At 37.2% G+C, this 22354-nt stretch overlaps 1 protein-coding gene across 35 annotated transcripts in view, besides 4 other annotated features; it reads right to left on the bottom strand.

Annotated features, from left to right (window-relative positions):
- Positions 1–22354, bottom strand: part of ENAH (ENAH actin regulator) — a 167050-nt gene that overhangs the window by 11148 nt on the left and 133548 nt on the right. For 10 of the 35 annotated variants that reach the window (XM_024448308.2, XM_024448306.2, XM_024448305.2 and 7 more), the window contains 10 exons: positions 21222–21589; positions 19220–20014; positions 16620–16924; positions 14895–15040; positions 14681–14738; positions 13835–13883; positions 9975–10041; positions 7015–7077; positions 3016–3094; positions 371–428 (listed from right to left, as the gene is read on the bottom strand). In XM_024448308.2, the coding sequence (XP_024304076.1) occupies positions 371–428; positions 3016–3094; positions 7015–7077; positions 9975–10041; positions 13835–13883; positions 14681–14738; positions 14895–15040; positions 16620–16924; positions 19220–20014; positions 21222–21589 (1988 nt within the window). The remainder of the gene's footprint in view (positions 1–370; positions 429–3015; positions 3095–7014; positions 7078–9974; positions 10042–13834; positions 13884–14680; positions 14739–14894; positions 15041–16619; positions 16925–19219; positions 20015–21221; positions 21590–22354) is intronic. The other 25 variants (XM_017001751.2, XM_017001749.2, XM_017001747.2 and 22 more) reach the window with 5 other exon arrangements.
- Positions 10412–11611: an enhancer, noted in NCBI's record as "MED14-independent group 3 enhancer chr1:225696090-225697289 (GRCh37/hg19 assembly coordinates)". NCBI's record gives its function as "activates an origin of replication core promoter dependent on BRD2, BRD4, P300/CBP and CDK7 cofactors, and independent of MED14, by STARR-seq in HCT116 cells {active_cell/tissue: HCT116}" and the evidence as "EXISTENCE:reporter gene assay evidence [ECO:0000049][PMID:35650434]".
- Positions 18950–19472: an enhancer, noted in NCBI's record as "H3K27ac-H3K4me1 hESC enhancer chr1:225704628-225705150 (GRCh37/hg19 assembly coordinates)". NCBI's record gives its function as "activates a minimal SCP1, AML or CMV promoter by ChIP-STARR-seq in primed H9 embryonic stem cells {active_cell/tissue: H9 hESC(primed)}" and the evidence as "EXISTENCE:reporter gene assay evidence [ECO:0000049][PMID:30033119]".
- Positions 19473–19993: an enhancer, noted in NCBI's record as "H3K27ac-H3K4me1 hESC enhancer chr1:225705151-225705671 (GRCh37/hg19 assembly coordinates)". NCBI's record gives its function as "activates a minimal SCP1, AML or CMV promoter by ChIP-STARR-seq in primed H9 embryonic stem cells {active_cell/tissue: H9 hESC(primed)}" and the evidence as "EXISTENCE:reporter gene assay evidence [ECO:0000049][PMID:30033119]".
- Positions 20923–21424: an enhancer, noted in NCBI's record as "H3K4me1 hESC enhancer chr1:225706601-225707102 (GRCh37/hg19 assembly coordinates)". NCBI's record gives its function as "activates a minimal SCP1, AML or CMV promoter by ChIP-STARR-seq in naive H9 embryonic stem cells {active_cell/tissue: H9 hESC(naive)}" and the evidence as "EXISTENCE:reporter gene assay evidence [ECO:0000049][PMID:30033119]".

Here is a 22354-nt window from a genome sequence, read left to right on the forward strand (position 1 = left end):
CTAATTTCTATATATTTATTTTCTCCTTTTGTATACAAAATGAAAACACTGATTATGTGGGCTCAAAAACAAGAGGACACTGGGATAGGTGAGTAGAGGTAACCTAGAGAAAGATCTGTTCATGTGGTTTTCCATCTAAGAAAAGACAACACCTGAAACTTAGGGATATTGTTTAATCCCTATTTATAAAAATAATTTCCATTATATGAAGGAGAAACCTCCTCCCCAAAACCCTAATCCTAAAAGGGCAGGACTATGGAAGTCATTGCCCTCAACTAATCAGCTGGGTATTTCCTTATTTGCATTTTCTTAAAAATGGTCAATCTTAAACATTGTTTTATAGGAATAGTAAATTTGTCCAGACACTTACCATCAATGAGCTCTTCTTTTAGCTTTGTTAATTCTTTTCTCATTTCATCTAAAATGTCCTAAAATATTAGAGAAAAATACCAGAAATACAGAACAAAATTACCACTAAAGAGATTCTTACTCATAAAATTTTAAGAATGTCATGAAATATGATGTGTAGTTTTTTTTGTTTCCAGAGCCACAATTCTATTTCTTGGAAGACTAGCCTTGGTGAATTTTGTTTTAATATTCTGCCCTTCCCAATCCTGGCTTATTCTAGCCTAGCAATATGTGAAATAGAATGCTTCCTAAAATTAAGATAATTACTCTGTCATCCAGTGAAACGTATGAGTCAGATAGTTTCTAGAAATGATAACAGCTGTGCTTTTAATCTAGTCCTCTGGGAACAGTCTGAGAGGTGATGCAAAGGAAGTTTAGAGGAGGAAGATATTACAGTAAACTGAAAAACTGGCTCTTGGCAAATCTGTCCTTTTGTCTGAAGTATGTATGGAGATTTCTCAGGAATCACCATAGCTGCCAAACCATATTTCAAGGAGTCTAGGATTTCCCTGAAGGGACCTCAGGGATTGCCCTAATGGGTAGGCAGGAAGGTGGATGAGGCCCTGGTTGACCCATGCTGTCCAATACGGCAGGCACGAATCATATGCAGCTGCTGAGCCCCTGAAATGAGGCTAATCTGAAATGAGATGTGCTGTGAAGTGCAAAACACACACCAGATTCCAAAGATTTAGTATGATGAAAATAATGTAAAATAACTCGTTAGTAATTTATAAAAATTGACTACATATTAAAACATACTTTAAATAATTAAGTTTTAAAATTAATGTCCTTTTGTTTTGTATTTTTAAAATGCAGCTACAGCCAGGCACGGTGGCTCACGCCACTGCACTCCAGCCTCGGCGACAAAGCGAGACTCTGTCTCAAAAAAAAAATAAATAAATAAATAATGCAGCTACTAGAAAAATTTTAAAATATATACGTAGCCCACATTATACTTCTATTTAACTGTGGTGCTCTGGGCCCTCCTTCAAGAACTGCAGATTTGGCCAGGTGTGGTGGCTCACACCTGTAATCTCAGCACTTTGGGAGGCCAAGGCAGGCAGATCACTTGAGGCTGGGAATTTGAGACCAGCCTGGCCAACATGGTGAAACCCTGTCTCTACAAAAACTACAAAAGTTAGCCGGGCGTGGTAGTGCACACCTGTAATCCCAGCTACTCAGGAGGCTGAGGCAGGAGAATCGCTTGAACCCGGGAGGTGGAGGCTGCAGCGACCTGAGATTGCACTACTGCACTCCAGCCTGGGTAGCAGAGTGAGACTCTGTCTCAAAAACAAAAAACAAAGAAATAAAAAAACCCCCTGCAGATTCAAGATCAGAGGTCCCATGACAAAGTGACACAATTTTAATGGGTGAAAAGTAACAGCTGTCCTTTGGAAGAATTAGTTTTGAATTGTGTGACTTTAACACTGAATACCCCAGGAAAAATTAAATTGCTCTGTTAAAGTTTACCTTTTGAAAAGCTTCTCATGTTTAAAATAAAACTATCAATTAGTTTGTCTTCATTTTAACAATGGAAAAGACTGAGACACAGAAGTTATTAAATAGACTCACAGATGCCCTGATCCAAATTACTCTTTACATCTCATCCCCCAAATCAAATCTATTCCTGTTATCCTCCAATTCTTCATATGACCAAGAACTGACCATGTTTTGAAGCGTGTGGAAGTGCTCTATTTTAAAATATTTTTCAAGAAAGCCATATTCAGTACACGGCAAAACAAGGCTTGATTTTCAATGGCCACGTGCTCCCCTTTAAAATTTTATAACTCAATTTAACTTTTCCAATAGCTTTGCAGTATGAAAATTCAGTTTATCTAAAAAATGTACTTCACCTCTTCTGTGAATAAGGTATTTTAAATCACAATCTTATCACTTACTACTTTTTCCTGAGTACATAGGTATTAACTATAAGGCATATGAATCCAAACGTGGACAGTATCTTTTTCTTTTTTATAAAATTGAGATAACTGTACACATTTGTTTTGTTACCTAACACAGGCAACTGTTCACAATTTACTATTAAGCATACTAAATTATGATCCCTTGAAGCCTACAGAGCCTCTACTCCACCCACTATACATTTGTATACTTCCATAATATTTTCTTTAAATAAATTCCTGGAATTCATATCACAGAATTCAAGGTAAGACATTTATTTTTCAGGCTTTTGATTCTGTTTTTCCAAACTGCTTTTTAGAAAGCAGAAGTATAGAAGAGTGCCTGTTTCCTTGCACTCTTGCCAAAATCAGATTTGTTGGGTTCAATTTTGCCAAGACAGTCACTGAAAAGTAAAAGCCCATTGTTTTCTTTACAACTGCGTACCATGCACTTACATTTACACCTTATGCTGTTATCACTGAACCACAACCCCACCCTCCACTACCTCTGGACCTTCATGCAAACTCAATGAACCGGAAGTGTAGATTTGCAAAAATGCAGTACTACTAATGCCACTGTTTAATTTGTATAACAATAGCTCTATCGTCTTTCTAAGTACATTCAGGATCCATGTCAAAGATATGCATATGGGATATTTTTTAAAAAGAAACAAGTACAAATAAAGGAAAGCTGCCACTGAGCACCCACCTGCTTCAGCCTGTCATAGTCAAGTCCTTCCGTCTGGACTCCATTGGCACTGGGCTGTGATAAGGGTGTGGATTTTGGTCTGTATAAATGAGATTTCCAGGACAGGTAAACAACATTCTTAATACTTAATGAGTTCATAAATAATTGCAAATTTACCAACCCAACACCAGATTTAAATACATTTCTTTAAAAAAGCCATTTTCTTAAAAAATTATCAAAATTGTAGGGCTGATTAGAACATAAAACAACATTTTTTCACTTTTCTCAGTATTTCTTATTTATAAAGGAACTAGAAAAAGGTGACAAGATGGTGAGACTTCTTCAGAAAAGAGTAGAAGACAGTATTCTTTGGGCATGAGGTAACCAGGTAACGTGGCACGTTGACCAAAACAGTGATGAAGAGGCCAGCTGAAACATCTGAGGCTCAAATAACACAATCTTGTTTTGTCTTTCTTTTGAACTTTTACATTATCTACTTAAATACCTGGACAAACCAGTGAAAGGAGAAACATAAAGACTTGAATGTTTTACACTAACATAAATCAGCTTACAAAGCTGATGCCTTGGATTGCAGGAAGAAAACATTTTTAGTGAGCATGATTTGCTTTATACATATTATTCCATTTCAAGCATCAAAATAAAAAATGTTTTAAAAATGTTTATTAGATTAGACTATGTGACTATTTCCTTGTGAAATTTTTATGGAGACGTCATTTGAATGGTGTGTTTCAGGCTAACTACTTCCATAAATTTATTTTATTAAATAAAAAGGATATGCCAGACAGAAGCAGATTGTCAATTATTATTGCACTTTCAAAAGTTTAGTTTCTATTATAATTCTTAATAAGTCAATGATTAGGTATATTTTAAACAAGTTTCAACACCAAATAAACCAGTCATGGCGCCCTCTCCAAGTCCGGCAATAAAAGAGTCCCCAGTGGAAAACCTAGAGTTTTAAATGGGCACTCCTCCGGGTTCTGGTTTAGTCTAGTAAATGCCCTCCTTTATGAGCCACAAATAAATGCAATTTAAAACCATCAGGCAAATCATATATTCCCAATTTTGCAGAGTACCAATGTTAGCAATCTGAAGCAAGACCCAAAAGGCATAATAAATTTTTCAAAGTTATAATTTATAATTCTTATAAGACATAAAATACTTTAAACCCATAGGCATGGTTCCTGAAGATTAAACACTGAGTTAATCTGCTTTTTGTTGTTGTTGTTGCTGCTGTTTATGAGATGCAGTCTTGCTGTGTCTCCCAGGCTGGAGTGCAGTGGTGCGATCTTGGCTCACTGCAACCTCCGCCTCCCCGGTTCAAGTGATTTTCCTGCCTCAGCCTCTGGAGTAGCTGGGATTACAGGTGCACCACAATGCCTGGCTAATTTTTTTGTATTCTGAGTAGAGACGGGGTTTCACCATGTTAGCCAGGCTGGTCTCAAACTCCTGACTTCATGATTTGCCCACTTCAGCCTCCCAAATTGCTGGGTGTAGGTGTGAGCCACCACGCCCAGCCTGTTAATCTGCTTTACTATCAAAACGTATTACTGCTTAAAAGACTGTTAGGAAGCAAGTCGTCCAATTTTACTTTATTAGGTATCTGCTTATATGAATAGGGGGAAAAATAACTTCCAGAAAATTTCATTCAATAAGCACTGAGCTAGGCACTGTAGGGAATAATATTTATATGAAATATTTCCTTTCCTCTTGTGAGGCTACACCTTCTTACTTTGCTAGGGAAGACTACTAAATTCCAAGGTCACTTAAGATTTACTTAGATCCATAAAATGCAGAGTCACTTCTGGCAAATATTCTTAAAGTTTAGGATGTTATTTCATATATTCACTCATGCTACCTATTCCTGTTCTCTAGAATTAAACTATAATTCATACTCTGCTTTTCTTTTACATTTCCCATTTAAGTGGCCCATTTAGCTAGTTATTTTCTCAAGTTATATAATGAATACCTCTGAAATTCACATGAACTACAGCCTGCTATTTAATTGGGCAAGTATGTTATGAATATATCCATATTTACTAGGCAATGCAAAAATTATTGTTATGTAATAAACAATTGTGGAAACATGCAAATTTTTAAAAATTTAATTCATGCTAACATGCAATCCATCACCACCACCACCACCATGATAATTAACTAAAGGGGGGAACTTTTCATACTGAAGGAAAGATGTAATCACCACTTTTTTTCTTAACTTTTACCAAAAAAGTTTATCAATAACATTATCCCAGGGGGTACTATGTGTGAAAGCAGCAAGATAACTGAGCAGATTTACTACATTTAAAAAATATATGTATTTTTGGACACAGGGTCTCATTCTGTCACCCAGGCTGCAGTGTGCATGATCTCAGCTCACCGCAGCCTTGACCTCCTGGCCTCAAGTCTTCTTCCCACCTCAGCCTCCCACAGGCACATGCAACCATGCCCAGCTAATTTTTGTATGTTTTGTAGAGACAGGGTTTAACCACATTGCCTAGGCTAGTCTCAAACTCCTGGACTCAAGTGATCCTCCTGCCTCGGCCTCCCAAAGTGCTGGGATTATAGGCATGAGCCATGGCACCCAGCCTTAAAAATCTCATTGTTAAATGCTACTTTTCTATGTACTAGCAAATTTTCTAAAGAAATCTTTTGGCCAAAACAAACCACCTCAAAAAAAAAAAAAAAAAAAACACAAAACTATTTCACTACTGGAATATAAACATTTTGTGAAGATTTAACTGGCTGACAAAATTAACTTGTCAAGTATTTTGATCATTAATAGCATAAAAATAATTTTAGCAAGTAAGAATTTGGCCAGAGTCTGCTTACAGAACTCCCAACTCACTGCAATAGACATCCACTATGAACACCACTTAATTCATATTCCCAGTGAACTTGATGTATATTTTTTTAAAAAATAGATGTGTAAAATAACATAAATATATTTCAGTTATTTCTAACCTATGGGTTTTCATCATAATTGATCACAAAATGAGGGTTTCTCAGGTTTTTATTTCACTTTTTTTTTTTTTTCCTAAAAGAGGGTCTCACTCTGTCACCCAGGCTAGGGTGCAGTGGTGTTATCATGGCTCACTGCAGCCTCTAACTCCTATGCACAAGATATCCTCCTGTCTTAGCCTCCTGAGTAGCTGAGACTATAGGCACAAGCCACCAGGCCCAGCTAATTTTTTTTTATTTTTTGTAAAGATGGGGTCTCGCTATGTTTCCCAGGCTGGTCTTGAACTCCGGGCCCCAAATGATCCTCCAGCCTTGGCCTCCCAAGGTGCTGAAACTATAGGTGTGAACCACCAGGTGCTGGGTCAGTTTTTATTTTTTTATGATGAGAGCGTTGCCTTTAAACATCTGCCTATAAAATGACTGTACTACTATATTTAAGTCCCTATTCTGTCAAATTAATTGTGTAAGTAACTGAAAAGCATTGCAGGATTATTTTTAGCTGTCAATTTTTTTAATTAAGAAAAAACTAGTTCTTAAGTCTTCTTAATTAAAAAATGGTATAATAGGGCTCATCCTAGAAAACAATCTACTCAGGGTGTTAGATGTTAAACTGTCCAAGATAATTTACTACAAAGTATCTAGGAAACAGAGATTTTCCTCAAATAATCAATTATCCACAACCATGGCTTTAATATTAGTCCATGTTCCAGTAACAGATGGAAAAGGATCTTCTATTCAACTTTTTTGAAACCTTGTCTTATAATCATAAGGCGAACAGCCTTTAAAAGAAAACGCTTAAGCTACAAATGGCCTAGATAATACATGTGGCCTTAGATTCCCAGTCTAGTATTTCTAATATGTTTACCATTTGTATTTATCCTTGAATCCAACTGTGAAGTGATGGCAGAATTTTTAAAAGGTATTCAAAATAAAGAAAAAAAAATCTCCCTTGTGGTGATTACCAATCCAGGTAGAAAAAGCTCAGCCCTATCCTGAACATGTTATTTAAAAGTCTCAAATCACAACGTCACAGCAGGATGATACCTGTGTAATGAATCATAGGACCTGTTGTCAAAAACAATCTGATTTTTCCTTGGAGAATCCCGTCTATGAAGGGGAAAACCATTGAAAGGGATACACAATAGAACTTTAAAAAATAATTCTCATTATGTTACTGTTTTATAGGTTGTTAATAGCAAACAAAACAAGAATTGAGTCTATTAACCTTAAAATAACCAATTTTTCCCCAATAAAAGATATTTTAAGATTACTTTTAGTTATGTGAAGATACCAGTTACAGAAAATTTTAAAAATCATTACACAATGGCTACTTTTTATATAGGTTGTAGGCACAGTAAGTATATAAAAGTATACAAAATTAACTCTTCTCAGGAGGCATGTAAAGGACTAGTTTTCCCATCTTGAATACAAGATCTGTAAGGTCTTAATAACCACAGATGAATGCACCAACTTCCCAAACGTTATAATCCAGTCATAGTTTAAAGCATTTTTAACCAAACAGTCTTGCTTTTACTCTGACATATTCACTTAACAAATACAGCAATATGCAATATCTCATGCATATTATGGGACATTAATCCATCTTACCACTAACGTAATTTTGACAAAGCTATTCCAAAGAGAAATGGGGACCTTCACTACAATGCAAGGATAAGACATACTTAATACACTTGCTTTCCGAAGGAACAGGAGAGATAACTTAGGAAGAAAAGCAATATAGTTCTTACTCTTTTAAACATATTTTAAAAATCCTTTATGGTTTAAAACAGCTTTTGGTGAAATTTTAAAACCTATATATCAGTAGTTGGATCAAATCTATCAAAAGATATATGAGTGGTCAGGAAATAATCAGGAGTTCCAGAATTTCTATTTTGGGAAAGGGAAGGAAAACCACCTAACAGAATTGGAACATGATTATGGTGCACTACTGGATATTAAGAATCAAGATTCAACTCATCTATATAAAATTATTTTCAAAATGGTGACCTTTAGAGCACTTATTAAATTTCCAAGTCTGAAAAAAAAATCTTTTTTTCCCTACCCTGGAATTAGGAAAAATAAAAAAATCTTTCAAAGAACAACTTTTCCTTTACTAAATGGACCAAATACATCAAAGAATGTATTCCATTTGGAGAACCTCGTCCATGTCCCTTCTAAGACATGACTTCTGCCATCAACGTAGGCTTAGCTTTTAGTTCACTGTGAAATGCAGATCAATGAAGCATGATGAAGAGAAAGGACAAATGACACATGACAGGTCTGCAGACTGGAGTGCAATAGCGCGATATCAGCTCACTGCAACCTCCGTCTCCCAGGTTCAAGTGATTCTTGTGTCTCAGCCTCCCAAGTAGCTGGCATCGCAGGTGTGCGCCACCATGCCCAGCTAATTTTTGTATTTTTAGTAGAGATGGGGTTTCATCATGTTAGCCAAGCTGGTCTCAAATTCGTGACCTCAAGTGATCTACCCACCTTAGCCTCCCAAAGTGCTGGGATTACAGGCATGAGCCACCACGCCTAGCCAGCTCCTTGTTATGGGCTTAATAAATCAGCACTTCATAATGTGCTACTGAAGAAAATCCGTAACTAGTAGAGATGTGTTAGAAGGCCATCTCAGTTAGGAGTCTGAGAAACATAAATGTGCAATTTTTCTACTCTACTGAAAACACATGTCCACCAAAAGCAATTCCCCCTTTCTTCTAAAGTAAAATATGATCATCTTTCAATCACTTAGAAACTAAAAGCTTTTATACATTCCAAAAGGCCTAGTTTCTTTGTGGAGCTTAAACAATTGTGTCACTACCAAATCTTCTTTCCTACTAGCAGAAAGAACCACATAGGAAGCCAAATCCAAATTCAGACTTAGACTAACACAGAACAGGTCTGTGATAATATAAAGTCTATCCCTGTACTTATCTTTATTAGGTTTCTATAATTAGAGTCAAGTTGCTTTTTACGAGACAAAAATAAGGCAAATAGCTCAGAAAGAAAAGACAAAATACCTTTTAGTTTCTAAATACATACTTTTTTTTTTTCTGGGAAAAATACAAGTCCTTTAAACTGTCTCATAAACCAAGAAAAGGTTTCATCTATGTTCAGGAGCTGTGATATAAATTTAGTCATGAAAATAAAGTATGCCTAGCTAAAGGAAGAACAAATTTGCCTAAATATGCCCACATGTACTTGTAGAAACAAGTATTAACTAGCCTTGTTTCTGGATACTATCTTTTCTAACTTGATTACACTTACAAGTTTCAAATGAGATAGGGAAATACATGTTTCTACTTTACAAATTCAAAGATGTATGTTTTATTTTGCTCTCTTTTCTCTCCAGCTGATATTCAGGTTTAAAAAAGGCTCCAAAAATTATATATATACATAAATATATATACATAAAATCTATGTCATTGGAACTAATGGGGAAATGTGACTATATACTATAGTAGATAATATTATTGCTTAATGTTAAATTTCTTGAGAGTAATAATGGTATTGTGGTTACATAGCAGATGTCCTGGTTCTTCCAAAAAACACTGAAGTATTTAGGGTGAAACAGTTCTTATTTGTGAATTGCTTTCAAACTAATCAGAGGGGAAAAAAGTGTGGATAGGTAGATATTTAAGACAAGTGGGGCAAAATGTTGACAACTGTTAAACCTAGGAAATGGGTATACGCATATTCACTGTACTATCCTTTTAATTTTTCTGTAGTTTTGAATTTTTCAAAATACAAATTGGGAAAAAGAAAGCTATCTTAAAATCTCAGATCATCTGGTTAATAAATGTAGGGTAGAATTTATCAATCACTAGTAATGTAGATGAGTAATATATAATGAGGCTTGGTGGTTGTCCAATACTAGGAGGATCACGAGAGTTTTATGGGCTCCTCTGTATAATTTCTTACCATTCAATTTTTTTCTACACTAAGAATGCATTAATTTTTTTTTATACAAATAAAATATAAAACTTAGAGAAAAAAATTGATACCTGGAGATAACAGGTGACTTGCTGCCATTCATTGTATTTGTTCTTTCCCAAGGTTTTCTTGTTGGTTCTTTAAAAATAAAAAACAAAAGCTATTAAATAAATAAATGCTTCCAGAGTTATTATAAAACAAATAACAAAATACTAAATCTCATTATACCTGTTTACATAGTAGTAATATAAATAAAAATTTAAATTCTAAACTTTAATTGAAATCTGTAAGGACTCTAATTTGCACAATGCCAGACCTTAAAATGAGAAGAAATTATAAGCTAGTACAGTAAGTTTCCAAGGAAAACTTACATTGTTAAGTCTAAAATATTATGATTCTATAACCTTAGGATAGTAAGGAGTTTCTCTAACAAAGAAAGGACAGTAAGAATAAAGTAGGATAATTTTAAAATTAGGATAGTTCAATTAATTAAAATGGAATAGTATTACCGACACTGTTTTAAATTATTTTTTAGTGCCAATGATAAAAACAGTAAGTATAACTTATAATATGTTCATGTATTTCAACATTTAATCTAAATCCAAATAGTCCCTCTTGGGGAAAAAAATAGGAACAACTCAAAATAAATATCAGAATCCTGAAATTCTATTGTACTTCCTTGATTCTTAAACAATTAATTCTTGGGCCTTAGCCGATTATTCCAGTTAAATATAAACAAGCTCGCTCTAAGCTCTTATTACAAAAGACACTATGTAGTCAGTGACTCACTAGTTGGCTGTCTATTGTGCTTGAATTGTTTTTCTAATCTGGGCTGACTCACTGATGCTGTCACTGGCCTCACTACATGACTGGGTAAAATCAGAAGTGGAATCTTCTCATGGAGGAAAGAATTTGGGCCACAGGAGAATGAAGTCTATTCATGAATTGTGATCTCATTGTATAGTTTTAACTAAAACTGCTCTGAGTTCCAATGCAGCTCCTCAGCTGGCTTTTGCACATTCTCAGGTAGCTTACCGTCTCTTCAAAGTACACTTAACGCAAAAATAAACTCACACTCTTCCATGAAGCCCTGCTTTTGGTTCTGGATTTCTTGTTGCATGAAGGCATTAGATGTGAAACCTTAAAGTCATTATTGATCTTGCTTTACTCCTCATCAACTAAATTCCTTCTTTTTTATATTCCTTCTTTTGTATTCTAACAGCTAACACAGCCTCTCAATGACCGCCACAGTGGTGTCAAGTTCCACACTTGACCAGGAAGATCAAATAATCGGATGGGGTTTGGGACAGGCCGAATCAGAAACATATCCAAGTGACACCAGCCCAAGCAGGTGAAAAAAGGGAAGTCCTGAATGAAACTGAGGGACACCGGGACAGGGAAGGGAACGGTCATCGGACACTGTCACTAAAGAGGCGGCGGGTGGAAGGATGAGGGAGTAATTCCAAAGTGGTTAAGATGTAGCAAGTGCTACCTTTTAACAGCTGGCTGAGGTCCTTTCTCAATCAGCCAAACCAGAACTATCTTTTAGTCTTAAAAGGGCTCATCTGGTTCAGCTGGCCCTGTGGAAGCTGAGAAGCAAGGGCCTCTTCTCTCTAAGGAGCTCGGGTGTGTTTCAGGAGGGGCAAGGCTGGGTTCCCTTCAGAGGATCTTTACTGGCATGCGTATAGAGCTTCCTAATTGGTCTGCCTATCTTAATCCTCCCTAGTTTCAATGGGAAAATCACAAGTGCCATTTTAATGTGCCTCAAACAGTTTCAGTGGATTAAATGTCCACTGAACTCAGTACTTGCAGGATAAAGTCTAAACTCTTGATAATTTTATAAAAGGCTCTCAACATTTTTGTTTCTAACTCATATTTTCAACCTTTTCCCTACAATATTCCTCAAAAAGAATTCCCCGTTCTAGTCTATTTCCTATTTCCTAATCTCTTCTTGCTCATCTCCAACTCCATACCTTGCTCATGCTATACTTACATCCTGAAATATCACACCTTCCCCTCACTTTCAGCCAAACTAAATACTCTTCAAGGAATACTAAGATGTCACTTTTCCCTACAAAGTTGACTCAGGTGACTCGTATGTGTCATTTCCTCCCTCTGTGACACACTACTTAGTATTCAACAAGTGGTTGTAAAAAGGTTAACTTCACACCTGTGTGTCTCATCTTCCCAGCTGTACCATGAGTTTTTTTGGGCTTAGGACCTGTACCTTTCACTTCAGGTGCCTGACACAATGTCAGTTTAAAAACGGAATGAAACAAGTGAGAAAACAGGCCCTGCCCTTTTTGATTTTATATATATGACACACACACAAAACCTGTGCCTTAGTTTTTCATATTTTATATAAGGGATTATATATTAGATAAGGAATTTTTAACTTGGAGTCCATGGATAACCTTCAAGAAATTCATGAATATTCTGAAATTATGAACAAATCTGAATAAAAATACAATTTTCCTCCCTGGAAAGAGGATCTATAGCTCTCATCATATTCTAAAGGTTCTGTGAGCCCAAAATATGGTTCGGATTTACAACATCTATGCGGTACTAATGAGAGTACATACAATTAATTTTGGCTTACAGAAAGAAGGATAAAGCTAAAATAAGTGGGTCACAAACCAGTGAATTTTTAATGAAAATAACAAACTGAGTCCTATTCAGAGGGAAAACAAAGCCATGATGTTAATTATGGTATAGCAATCAACCTACTGAAGAGTCACCATTTAATAATAAGAATGAGGAATGGGGGGAGTGGTGAAAAGATGGATTACAATCACAAAAACAAAAACTTCAGAGGTACTTAAAAAAAAAAAAAAAAAAAAAGGAATTCTAGGTGGTGCACTGTGGCTCACGCCTGTAATCCTAGCACTTTGGAAGACTGAGACAGGTGGATCACTTGAGCTCAGGAGTTTGAGACCAGCCTGGGCAACATGGTGAAACCCTGTCTCTACCAAAAATCCAAACAATTAGCCAGGAGTGGTGCCATGTGCCTGTGGCCCCAGCTACTTAGGGGGCTGGGGGGCTAAGGTGGGAGGATCACTTGAGCCCAGGAGGTGGGGGTTGCGGTGAGCCAAGACTGCACCACTGCACTCCAGCCTGGGCAACAGAGCAAGACCCCATCTCAAAAAAATTAAAAAAATGAAAATTAAAAAGGGAACTGTAGATGCAGCTGGTTGTCTTTAAATCAAAACTGTAGGAATATAAGCATTTCTCTATAATGGTTTCTTATGGACCACTCTAGATATTAACTCATCAAGTTTATTTATGTCATTTCATTCCAGAATAGATAAGGAGTTCAATAGATAGTCCAGCCCTTAGTCTTTAATCAAATATGAAGAAATAACATGTGAATATGTAATGAGTTCGTATTCTCATCTTGGATACAGTACTCATCAAGTACTTCTAGTGAAATATACTTTTGTTAATATTCTAGGTGATTTATCAGATGCTCAAGAATTCTCAATGTCAGAAATTTCACTGAATTCAAGAACACTTCCCCAAAATTTTAAGGAGACTTTTTAAGTTTACAAATCAGAAACTTTATTCCCTTAATTATCAATATCACCCAAATGAATGGCTAGGACATCCTTCTCAATTTGAGAATGTTCTGAAGCAGACTGTAGTACTAACTAACATGCTCACTTTATTTTTACCTCTAGAAAAACAATTATGAAAAATACTCTTGTCATCTAATAGTACATTAATATTTTCCTTGTTTTAGTAAGTAACCTCAAGAAAGTAACAGCAGCTTCCAGGAGGAAAAAAGTGAATGCTTTCAGGTGGGAACAAAGAACTCTGGCATTTTAGTGTCCAGTCACTTGGTCCAAATATGGGGAAAGGGGGAATTTTTAACTGGGGAGTATTAATATTTAGAGAAAGTTTATAAAGGTTAAAATATTTATCTTGAACTTACCAGGTGTACTTGTTGAAGAGGCCTTAGAAGTTACAGGCTCTGAATCTTCCTAAATATACAGATATATATTAATATCACATCTACCAGTCCCCTGTTGCTATATACATTTAGTGTTTTACACGAACACTTCTAATATTCTTTCTGCCACTCCCCACTTTCTCTTTCATCGGTCTTCTCTCCCTTTCATTTCAGCTTAGACTTTCTTCTCCTGTCTTCAACCATCTTCCCTTCAACCCTCCCCACAGCTCCTTTCCTCATGTGTTCTCCTTGAGAACTTTCACTAGCCAATGCTACAAAGCCAGACACGAGAGACAGATTTGAGGAATGGCATCTAAGGTGGCCAGATGGAGCAGGGGGAACATATTATTTGTTGCACACCAATATACAGCACAGACAAAGCAGAGTTTGCCCAGCTGAATCAGGGAGGAGGGCATGAAGGTTACACTCTGAAGGGGCACAGCCAATAACCATCAAGCTCCTAAGGGAAACATATGAATTTAGGCGAATTCCTTCCTTTTAAATTAATGCAAGGGAACTGAGATTCTAAGAGATGAAAAAAGTAGTGAAATGTCATTCACTCATTTAAGGAACAGAATTAAACTCCACAGGTTTGAACTTCAATGCTTTTCCCATAATTTCACATATTCAACTCACTTTACTAAGACTGCCATTAAAAATTTATAAATAACAGTCAAAACAAGCCACTTCACATGCATAGTTAAAAATTAGCAAATATAAGTTCAAACTAATTAAGCCCAAATTAAATAAATGCTGACACTATTTCCTGAATGAGCTGTGCCTGAATTCCATATTTTAAGGTATGGTAGACTATCTTTATTAACTTACACCTTTGTCCTCTTTTTGTTCTGTTTCTATTGTTGATCCCTTTTCAGCAATTCTTCTCCTACAAAGAAGGCAAATCCGATTTTTAAAAATATTATCTGATTCAGTATAAAAACCACTTCTCTACGAGGAAAGAAGTGCATCTAGTTAGTTGTATTTGGAATACAATTAAAATCCTCTCAATTCTGGGCATGTCCATTATAATGAAATTCCTTACCTCCTGGCCAGCAGGGCACTCATTTCTTCCATTAAACCACTACCCCCTAAAGGAAGGGGTCCATTTCCACGGCCTGTATCTGTTTTAGATGAGGCGGAGTTCACACCAATAGCATTCCCTCCACTTGGGAAAGAGGTATCCTCCATCTTAATGAGAATATACAGACATAATCAACTCCTATGTTAGACAACCATATTTTTATTAATATATTACATCTAAAACAGAAGGAAACATCAGCATTAATTTTAAAAAACCTAAATATTATTTTTTAAGCTTTAAGAACCAATAGATTCTTAGCATGACTTTATATATCAACAAGAGTTTATCAAAACTACTATCACCAAGAATGCAATGAAACAGTATCATGTATCTCTTCCTGTGCTGCCATGAAAAGGGCATGACTTTGCTCTGATAATATTCCTGCTAAAACAACCCCTGCATAACTAGAATCTAATCTTGAGGAAAAATCAGATAAGCCAAAGTGAAGGATAACAGGCAAAATAATTGTCCTACAGTCTTCAAAAATGCCAGTATTATGAAAGATTGAGGAACTGTCATAAAGTATATCAAAGAGACATTATAACTAAATGCAATAAATGATCTTGCACTAGGAAAAAAACTGTCACTAAAGATGTCATTGGACTATAGATGAAATTTGAATAATACATTTGTAGATTACAGTATTCTATCATGTTAACTTTCCTGATTTTGATAATTATATTACTGGTTATGCAGGTAAATGTCCTTGTTCTTATAAAATTCACACTGAGGTACTTAGGAAAATAGAAGCTTGTGTCTCTGAGTTACTCTCAAATCATTCAAACAAAAGTGCATGTGTAGGCCGGGTGCGATGGCTCACACCTGTAATCCCGGCACTGTGGGAGGCTGAGGCGGGTGGATCACCTGAGGTCAGGATTTCAAGACCAGTCTGGTCAACATCGCGAAACCCTATCTCTACTAAAAATACAAAAATTAGCTAAGCATGGTGGTGGGTGCCTGTAATCCCAGCTACTCAGGAGGCTGAGGCAAAATCGCTTGAACCTGGGAGGTGGAGGTTGCAGTGAGCTGAGATCGCGCCATGGCACTCCAGTCTGGATAACAAGAGTGAAACTCCGTCTCAAGAGAAAAAACAAAAAAAGTGCATGTGTAAAGAAGGAAACATATCCAAAGAAGGAATAAAAAAGCAAATACTGGTAAAATGTTAATGGGTGAATGTAGGTGATGAATTTATAGAAATTATTTATACTATTCTTACAACTTCACTATAAAAATTTAAATTATGTCAATTTTTAATTTTTATTTATTTTATTTTTTGAGACAAAGTCTTACTCTGTCACCCAGGCTAGAGCGCAGTGGCATGATCTCGGCTCACTGCAACCTCCACCTCCCGGGTTCAAGCGATTCTTCTGCCTCAGCCTCCCGAGCAGCTGGGATTATAGGCATGTGTCACACATCTGGCTAAGTTTTGTATTTTTAGTGAGATAGGGTTTTAACATGTTGGCCAGCCTGGTCTCGAACTCCTGACCTCAGGTGATCCGCCCACCCCAGCCTCCCAAAGTGCAGGGATTATACAGGTATGAGCCATTGCGCCAGGGTAAATTATTTCAATTTTTTAAATCAATGAAGTTCATAACATTTCATAAAATTAGAATACAATAAATTCAACATTTTAGATATTTAGGAAGAATAAGACATATTAAAAAAATTTTTCAGAAAGGTATTTACCCGTGACACTTTCCTAAGTTTTGCTCCGGCAATTGCAGCTGCAAGTCCAGTTAAAGGGCGATTGTCTTCTGACATGGATGCCAAAAAGAATCCAGATGCAGGGAGGGGTGGGGCAGGAGGTGGTGGAGGAGGAGGGGGTACTTGATTAGGGAGAGGAGGGGGAGGAGGGGGCGGTGGAGGCCCGGTGGATGGGAGTGGAGGAGGTGGAGGGGGCCCTGGGGGAGGAGGGAGGGCTACTGAAGCCTGTGCAGGCCCTGGTGGGAGTGGTGGAGGAGGTGGAGGTGCAAGTGGTCCCAAGACAATGCCTGAGAGAGAGAAATGTTAAGTAAGACCATCAACAATAGAGCTGAGTGATATTATTTTATGTGGGAAGGTACGCAGAATGCCATGCTAAATTAAACTGACTCATGTATTTACTTAATGAGTCCAATTTATCATAGTTGTAAAAGTCTAGATCAGTTTTTGAAAGATACTGAAATGTAAGGTCCAAGTATATATAACTACTTACTTTAGGTTAGAGCTTTAGTAATAGAACTATGCAACAGATCATCTAATTAAGACTTTTTTTTTTCATGGGGATTTGGTAAATAAGCAAAATAAATACTTATAAAATTTGGAAGAGAGGTAAGCGTCCCTGAAAAAACAAACTAGTATATAGGATGGCAGTTAGTACTACTTGAAATATCAGACCCAAAATAATCCACATTAACCTTAAGTGTTGAGACAGTAAATTCAGTAACAGTGAACACATACATTTAATTGTTTACAGTCAAAGTGGCTGTATTAAAAACATGAAGGAGGAGTAAGTCCCAGCTTCAGCATTTTAAAAAATACTTCACATTTAAATTCAATGGATAGCCAAGGCTGAGAATCACTGAAGTAAAGGAATTTACTAGTACAAAGTAAAACCTCAAAATAACGCTCGGAAATAATTAAATACCATAGGATTTGAAGTAGAGTTGTTTTTATCCCACAAAATGGGGGGCAAGAAGAGAAATGTTCAAATGTTATAAAATCACAAAGGGAGTGAACAAGAATTTATTTAATAACAGAATCCTGAAACAGTAGGTGCTCTTTTAGTTAAGGTTTAAGAGGGGTGTTTTCAGAACGAATAAAATGCTATTTTGCACACTGGGTGGTAATTGCTAACTTTTTCAGCTTGAGCAGTTACACAAGCAGAAAACATCAATTGTTAAAAGAAGCATCTAGAAATAGTCTGTCCCTTCTGTAGGGGTTGTTAAGAGTTCTGAGGGTACAGCAGGTCACTTTGTCAGGCTGACTGTGCCCATTTTGTACAGTATAACTGTCATGGTGAAACCAAACTGAACGTCTTAGAATTCTGACTAACCTTTTAAGCAAATTTGTAAGTCAACAACAACAAAATATATACATATACAGCAATAACAAGCCTTGCAATGTTTAAGTACAAATTTGTTTTCAGTTTTCTTTCTGTAGTCCTCCTTAAATCATATTTTAAAAACTAGGGTTGCCAAGCATCTTCTTATTTACTTACAGAACCAGGTCCTTTTCTACTTACAAATAATCCACTTAGAGATTACATCCTGCCTTCCCTGTTACCATAACAATAAGGTAGGGACGGGGAGAATAACTACAGAGGATGCTATTCTCTCTTGATTACCCCTTCAAGCCACTACTTATTGTAATTTTGGACCTTGGAACCCTTTAGGGCATATATGAACCCTGCCATCCTCTCTACTCCTCCTGCAAAGTCATAATGCTCCAAGGGTTAGGGTGACACCTATCCTGGAAGTCCAACATGGGGCATCTAATATAGGAAAGGCAAGAAGGAAACAGGGCCCAAGATCAGAACTGTTCCAAAGGAAACTCTGGGATGACGTATCTAATGACTACAGTTGGGCACTAAATATATCTCTCTAAGTCTCCCAGAAAAATGAAGGAAAACAATTTAGATCATGTATTTATTGTGTGGTAGATCAACGTGTCAAGCAAAGTTTTCCCAGTGAAAGACATGTATTAGCTGGGTGCGGTGCTCACACTTGTAATCCTAGCAACTTTGGGAGGCCGAAGGGGCAGATCACATGAGGTCAGGAGTTCAAGACCAGCCTGGCCAACATGACAAAACCCTGTCTCTACTAAAAATACAAAAATTAGCCAGGCGTGGTGGCATGTGCCTGTAACTCCTGCTACTCAGCTGGCTAAGGCAGGAGAATTGCTGGAACCCGGGAGGTGGAGGTTGCAGTGAGCTGAGATCGTGCCACTCTACTCCAGCCTGGGCAACACAGCAAGACTCTGTCTCAAAAAAACAAAAAAAAAAAAGAAAAAAATAAAGAAATGTATTATGAGGGGCTCTTAAATACTAGAAAACATCTTTAACTGCGATACTATAAAAGATATCAAAACCTAGTTCAATAAGGAAATTCCTCCAAATGCAATTAATCCAACAGGAAAAACATTTTTCTACTTTAATTTTTTTAATTAAAAAAAAAAAAAGCATGGCATTATGGCATATAAATGTTCAAGGATCAAAACCATCCTACCCATCCATTCAGGCAATTAAAGTCACTGCTATATAACATTTTCAAGTGATTAGCTGTTAGTAGCAATAATGAAAGCCTTACCCTGTTGGGATGGAGTCTCGGCCGGCTGAGAGGCTGCCTGCAAGCCTGGCTCAGAAGCAGAAGAGTCTCCCAGCACAGAGTTTAGAGGAGTCTCAACAGAGGCAGGGGCAGCTGCAGAGGGAGAAGGGAGAACACTAGGCTTGGATGAGGGAGTTGAGGCAATAGGGGTGCTTGGAGGAGGAGAAGCTTGAGATCCACAGTGTGAGAGTGATGCGAGGGAAGGCAGTGGAGGCGGCGGCGGAGGAGCTGCTGGCCCTGAGGTAGGCGGTGGAGACACTGGATATGTTACAGAGTCAACCAGCCCATTGGGTGCTGTCGGTGATGGAGGCATTTGGGGCACAGGAGAAGAAACACAAACAGGGAGGACAGGCCTTGGACCAGTAGCTTTGCCTGGGGGGCTGCTAATCATTATTGGAGGAGATGGAGGGAGGGGCGAAAAATTGGAAGTAGACCAGGCACAGGGCTTCGTAGCTGGAGGCTGAGAAGAGGGTGTGTTCACAGGAGAAGAAGGTCGAGAGTTTTTGTTCAGAGGACGAGGAACTGTAGCGTAATGGGGAAGAACAGGGTGGAAGGCTGAACCTAAAGATGTTGCAAAACGTGTCGCTGAGTGTCGCAGTGGTGGTGTAGGGGGTGTGGAAGTAGGTGGCAAAGCAGTCACTACAGCATAATCAGGAGTGGCATCTGACACTGGAGCTGAGATGACTTTAGCGTATGATGGAGGAGGTGCTGAAGGAGGCTGGCAACTGGAATACTCAGGAAGTGGAGCGTTATACAGGGAGCTGTCTGAAGATGGAGCTGGACAGAAGGTGGAAAGCAGCAGCAAAAGACAGGATAAAAAAGGAGAGAGAAAAAGGGAGCTAGTGAAGCCACAAAACCAGCATTCAGACACAATGTATAAATGTAGACTACAGTTAGTATCAGAGAATTAGGCACAAACGCAAATAACTATTTTCACCCAAGAATATTTTAACTTGTAAATACATTTTGAGATTCAGAAGGGGATGAAATAAGTTTCCTTTTATCTAATAAGTGGATTAATAAATTTAATTGACTAATTTCTTTTACAAGAAAAAGCTAGTATTAGTCTTAATTTTTATTTAGTCTACAAGAAAAAGGACATTAAAATCACATGAATAGGACCATAAACAGAAGAATAAATTTAGTTGTTTTTTTAAAAACAACAAATAGCAAAACTAGTAAAGCTGGCAAAACATTTAATATGAAGGGTTCAATGCTCCTATTCAATGCTAACTTGTGGAAAAGTTTTGTTTTGTTGGCCATAACTCCAGAAAATAATTAGGTAGCTAAAAATACATAAATTAACTTAATAAACCAACCAACCAACCACTGTTTAATCAAACCACATTAAGACTTTTTAATTAGGCCATAAGGAATATTCTTAAATCCTATAATGAATGTTAATTTTAATAAACGTTAAAATATCTCAAACTTTCAGCCATATATTAACCCTTATGTCTTTCAGTAAATTCCAGATTCCATAATTTTCACTAATTTTTCATAATACTAGAAAGCATATTTAAATAACTAGTCTTAGAGAATATTTCTCTAAAATAATTCTTCCTCCAAAATCTTTAGAATGCAATCAAGCAAATTTCTTGCTGAATGGTACTACAGTACTATAGTATTTGAGACAATTTAAGTGATCTCATGAGGGAAATATATTTGAAGTTCATCCAGTATAAAAAATTTCCCATAAAAACACACTTACACTTTATAGCCATTTTATAGGGTGTTAGAAGAATTAGAATGGCAGAATAAAAATTTCCAAGAGCTTTCTTTAAGTCTCCAAGCAATAAAAGCAATACAGAGAGAAATAAAAAGAAAATGTTAAAGTAGTAATTGCTGCATATTTATTCATAATTTCAAATTGTATGGCTTAATCCCAAACATCTCAAATGTGAAATATTTTAACACATGACTGCACAAGAGACATCATCCAAGCTCAGATACAAGAACACAGAAGAGTTTGTAAACTTCTTACCAGCACTTGATATTCTGCGCTCTCTCTCCCATTCCAGCTGTTCCCTTTCTAACTGCTCTTGTCGCTCCCTTTCTTGCCTCTCCCGTTCCAGTCTCTCCAGCCTCTCTCGTTCTTGTCTTTCTTGCCTCTCCCGATCCAGGCGTTCCTGCCGCTCCAGGCGTTCCTGCCGCTCCAGGCGTTCCTGCCGCTCCAGGCGTTCCTGCCGTTCCCGTTCTTGTCTCTCTCTCTCCAGCTGTTCTTGTTCCAGTCGCTCCCTCTCCAGCCTTTCCCTTTCTAACCTCTCTCTCTCCAACCTTTCTCTTTCCATTCTTTCTCGCTCCAGCCTTTCCCGCTCCAGCTCCTTTTGCCGTTGCTGTTCTTGTAGTTGTCTGGAAAAAAAAAAAAAAAAGTAAAAACATGCATCTATGGCTACTCATCATGAAAAAGCGATTCTTTTCACCTATGTAAACTATTTCTGAGTCAAATAAAAGCAATGTAGAGCATGCAAACATCTCTCCTCCCACATGAAGGCTACCTTGGATAGAGACTGTTTCATACAAATGAAAATCATTTCTCCTATTAGCATCATATTGGCTGAATGCTTCAGCACATTGCACTAACATTTCATTTTATTCTGTACTTTTCATGAGTAGTGTTGCAAGTAAATGAATTTTCCAAATAACATACCACTTTAATAACCAAGTCATTATTTTAATTATTTAGTGAAAACATTTGTAATTGTAATATCCTTAATATCAAATTTAATTGTACAAATAATATTTCAGAAAATACAATGACTGGCCACAGCAATAGCTCAATAAATATTTACTGAATGGGCCAGGTGTAGTGACTCACACCTGTAATCCCAGCACTTTGGGAGGCCGAGGCAGGTGCATCACTTGAGGTCAGGAGTTCGAGACTGGCCTGGCCAACATGGTGAAACCCCATCTCTACCAAAAATATAAAAAATTAGCCGGGCATGGTAGCGTGCGCCTATAATCCCAGCTACTTGGGAGGCTGAGGCAGGAGAATCGCTTGAACCTGGGAGGCAGAGGCTGCAGTGAGCCGAGATCGTGCCACTGCACTCCAGCCTGGGTGACAGAGCAAGACTCCACCTCAAAAAAAAAAAAAAAGTTTACTGAATGAAAAAGAGT

The sequence above is a fragment of the Homo sapiens genome, chromosome 1 (genome assembly GCF_000001405.40).
Source record: "Homo sapiens chromosome 1, GRCh38.p14 Primary Assembly".
NCBI classification, from domain to species: domain Eukaryota; kingdom Metazoa; phylum Chordata; class Mammalia; order Primates; family Hominidae; genus Homo; species Homo sapiens.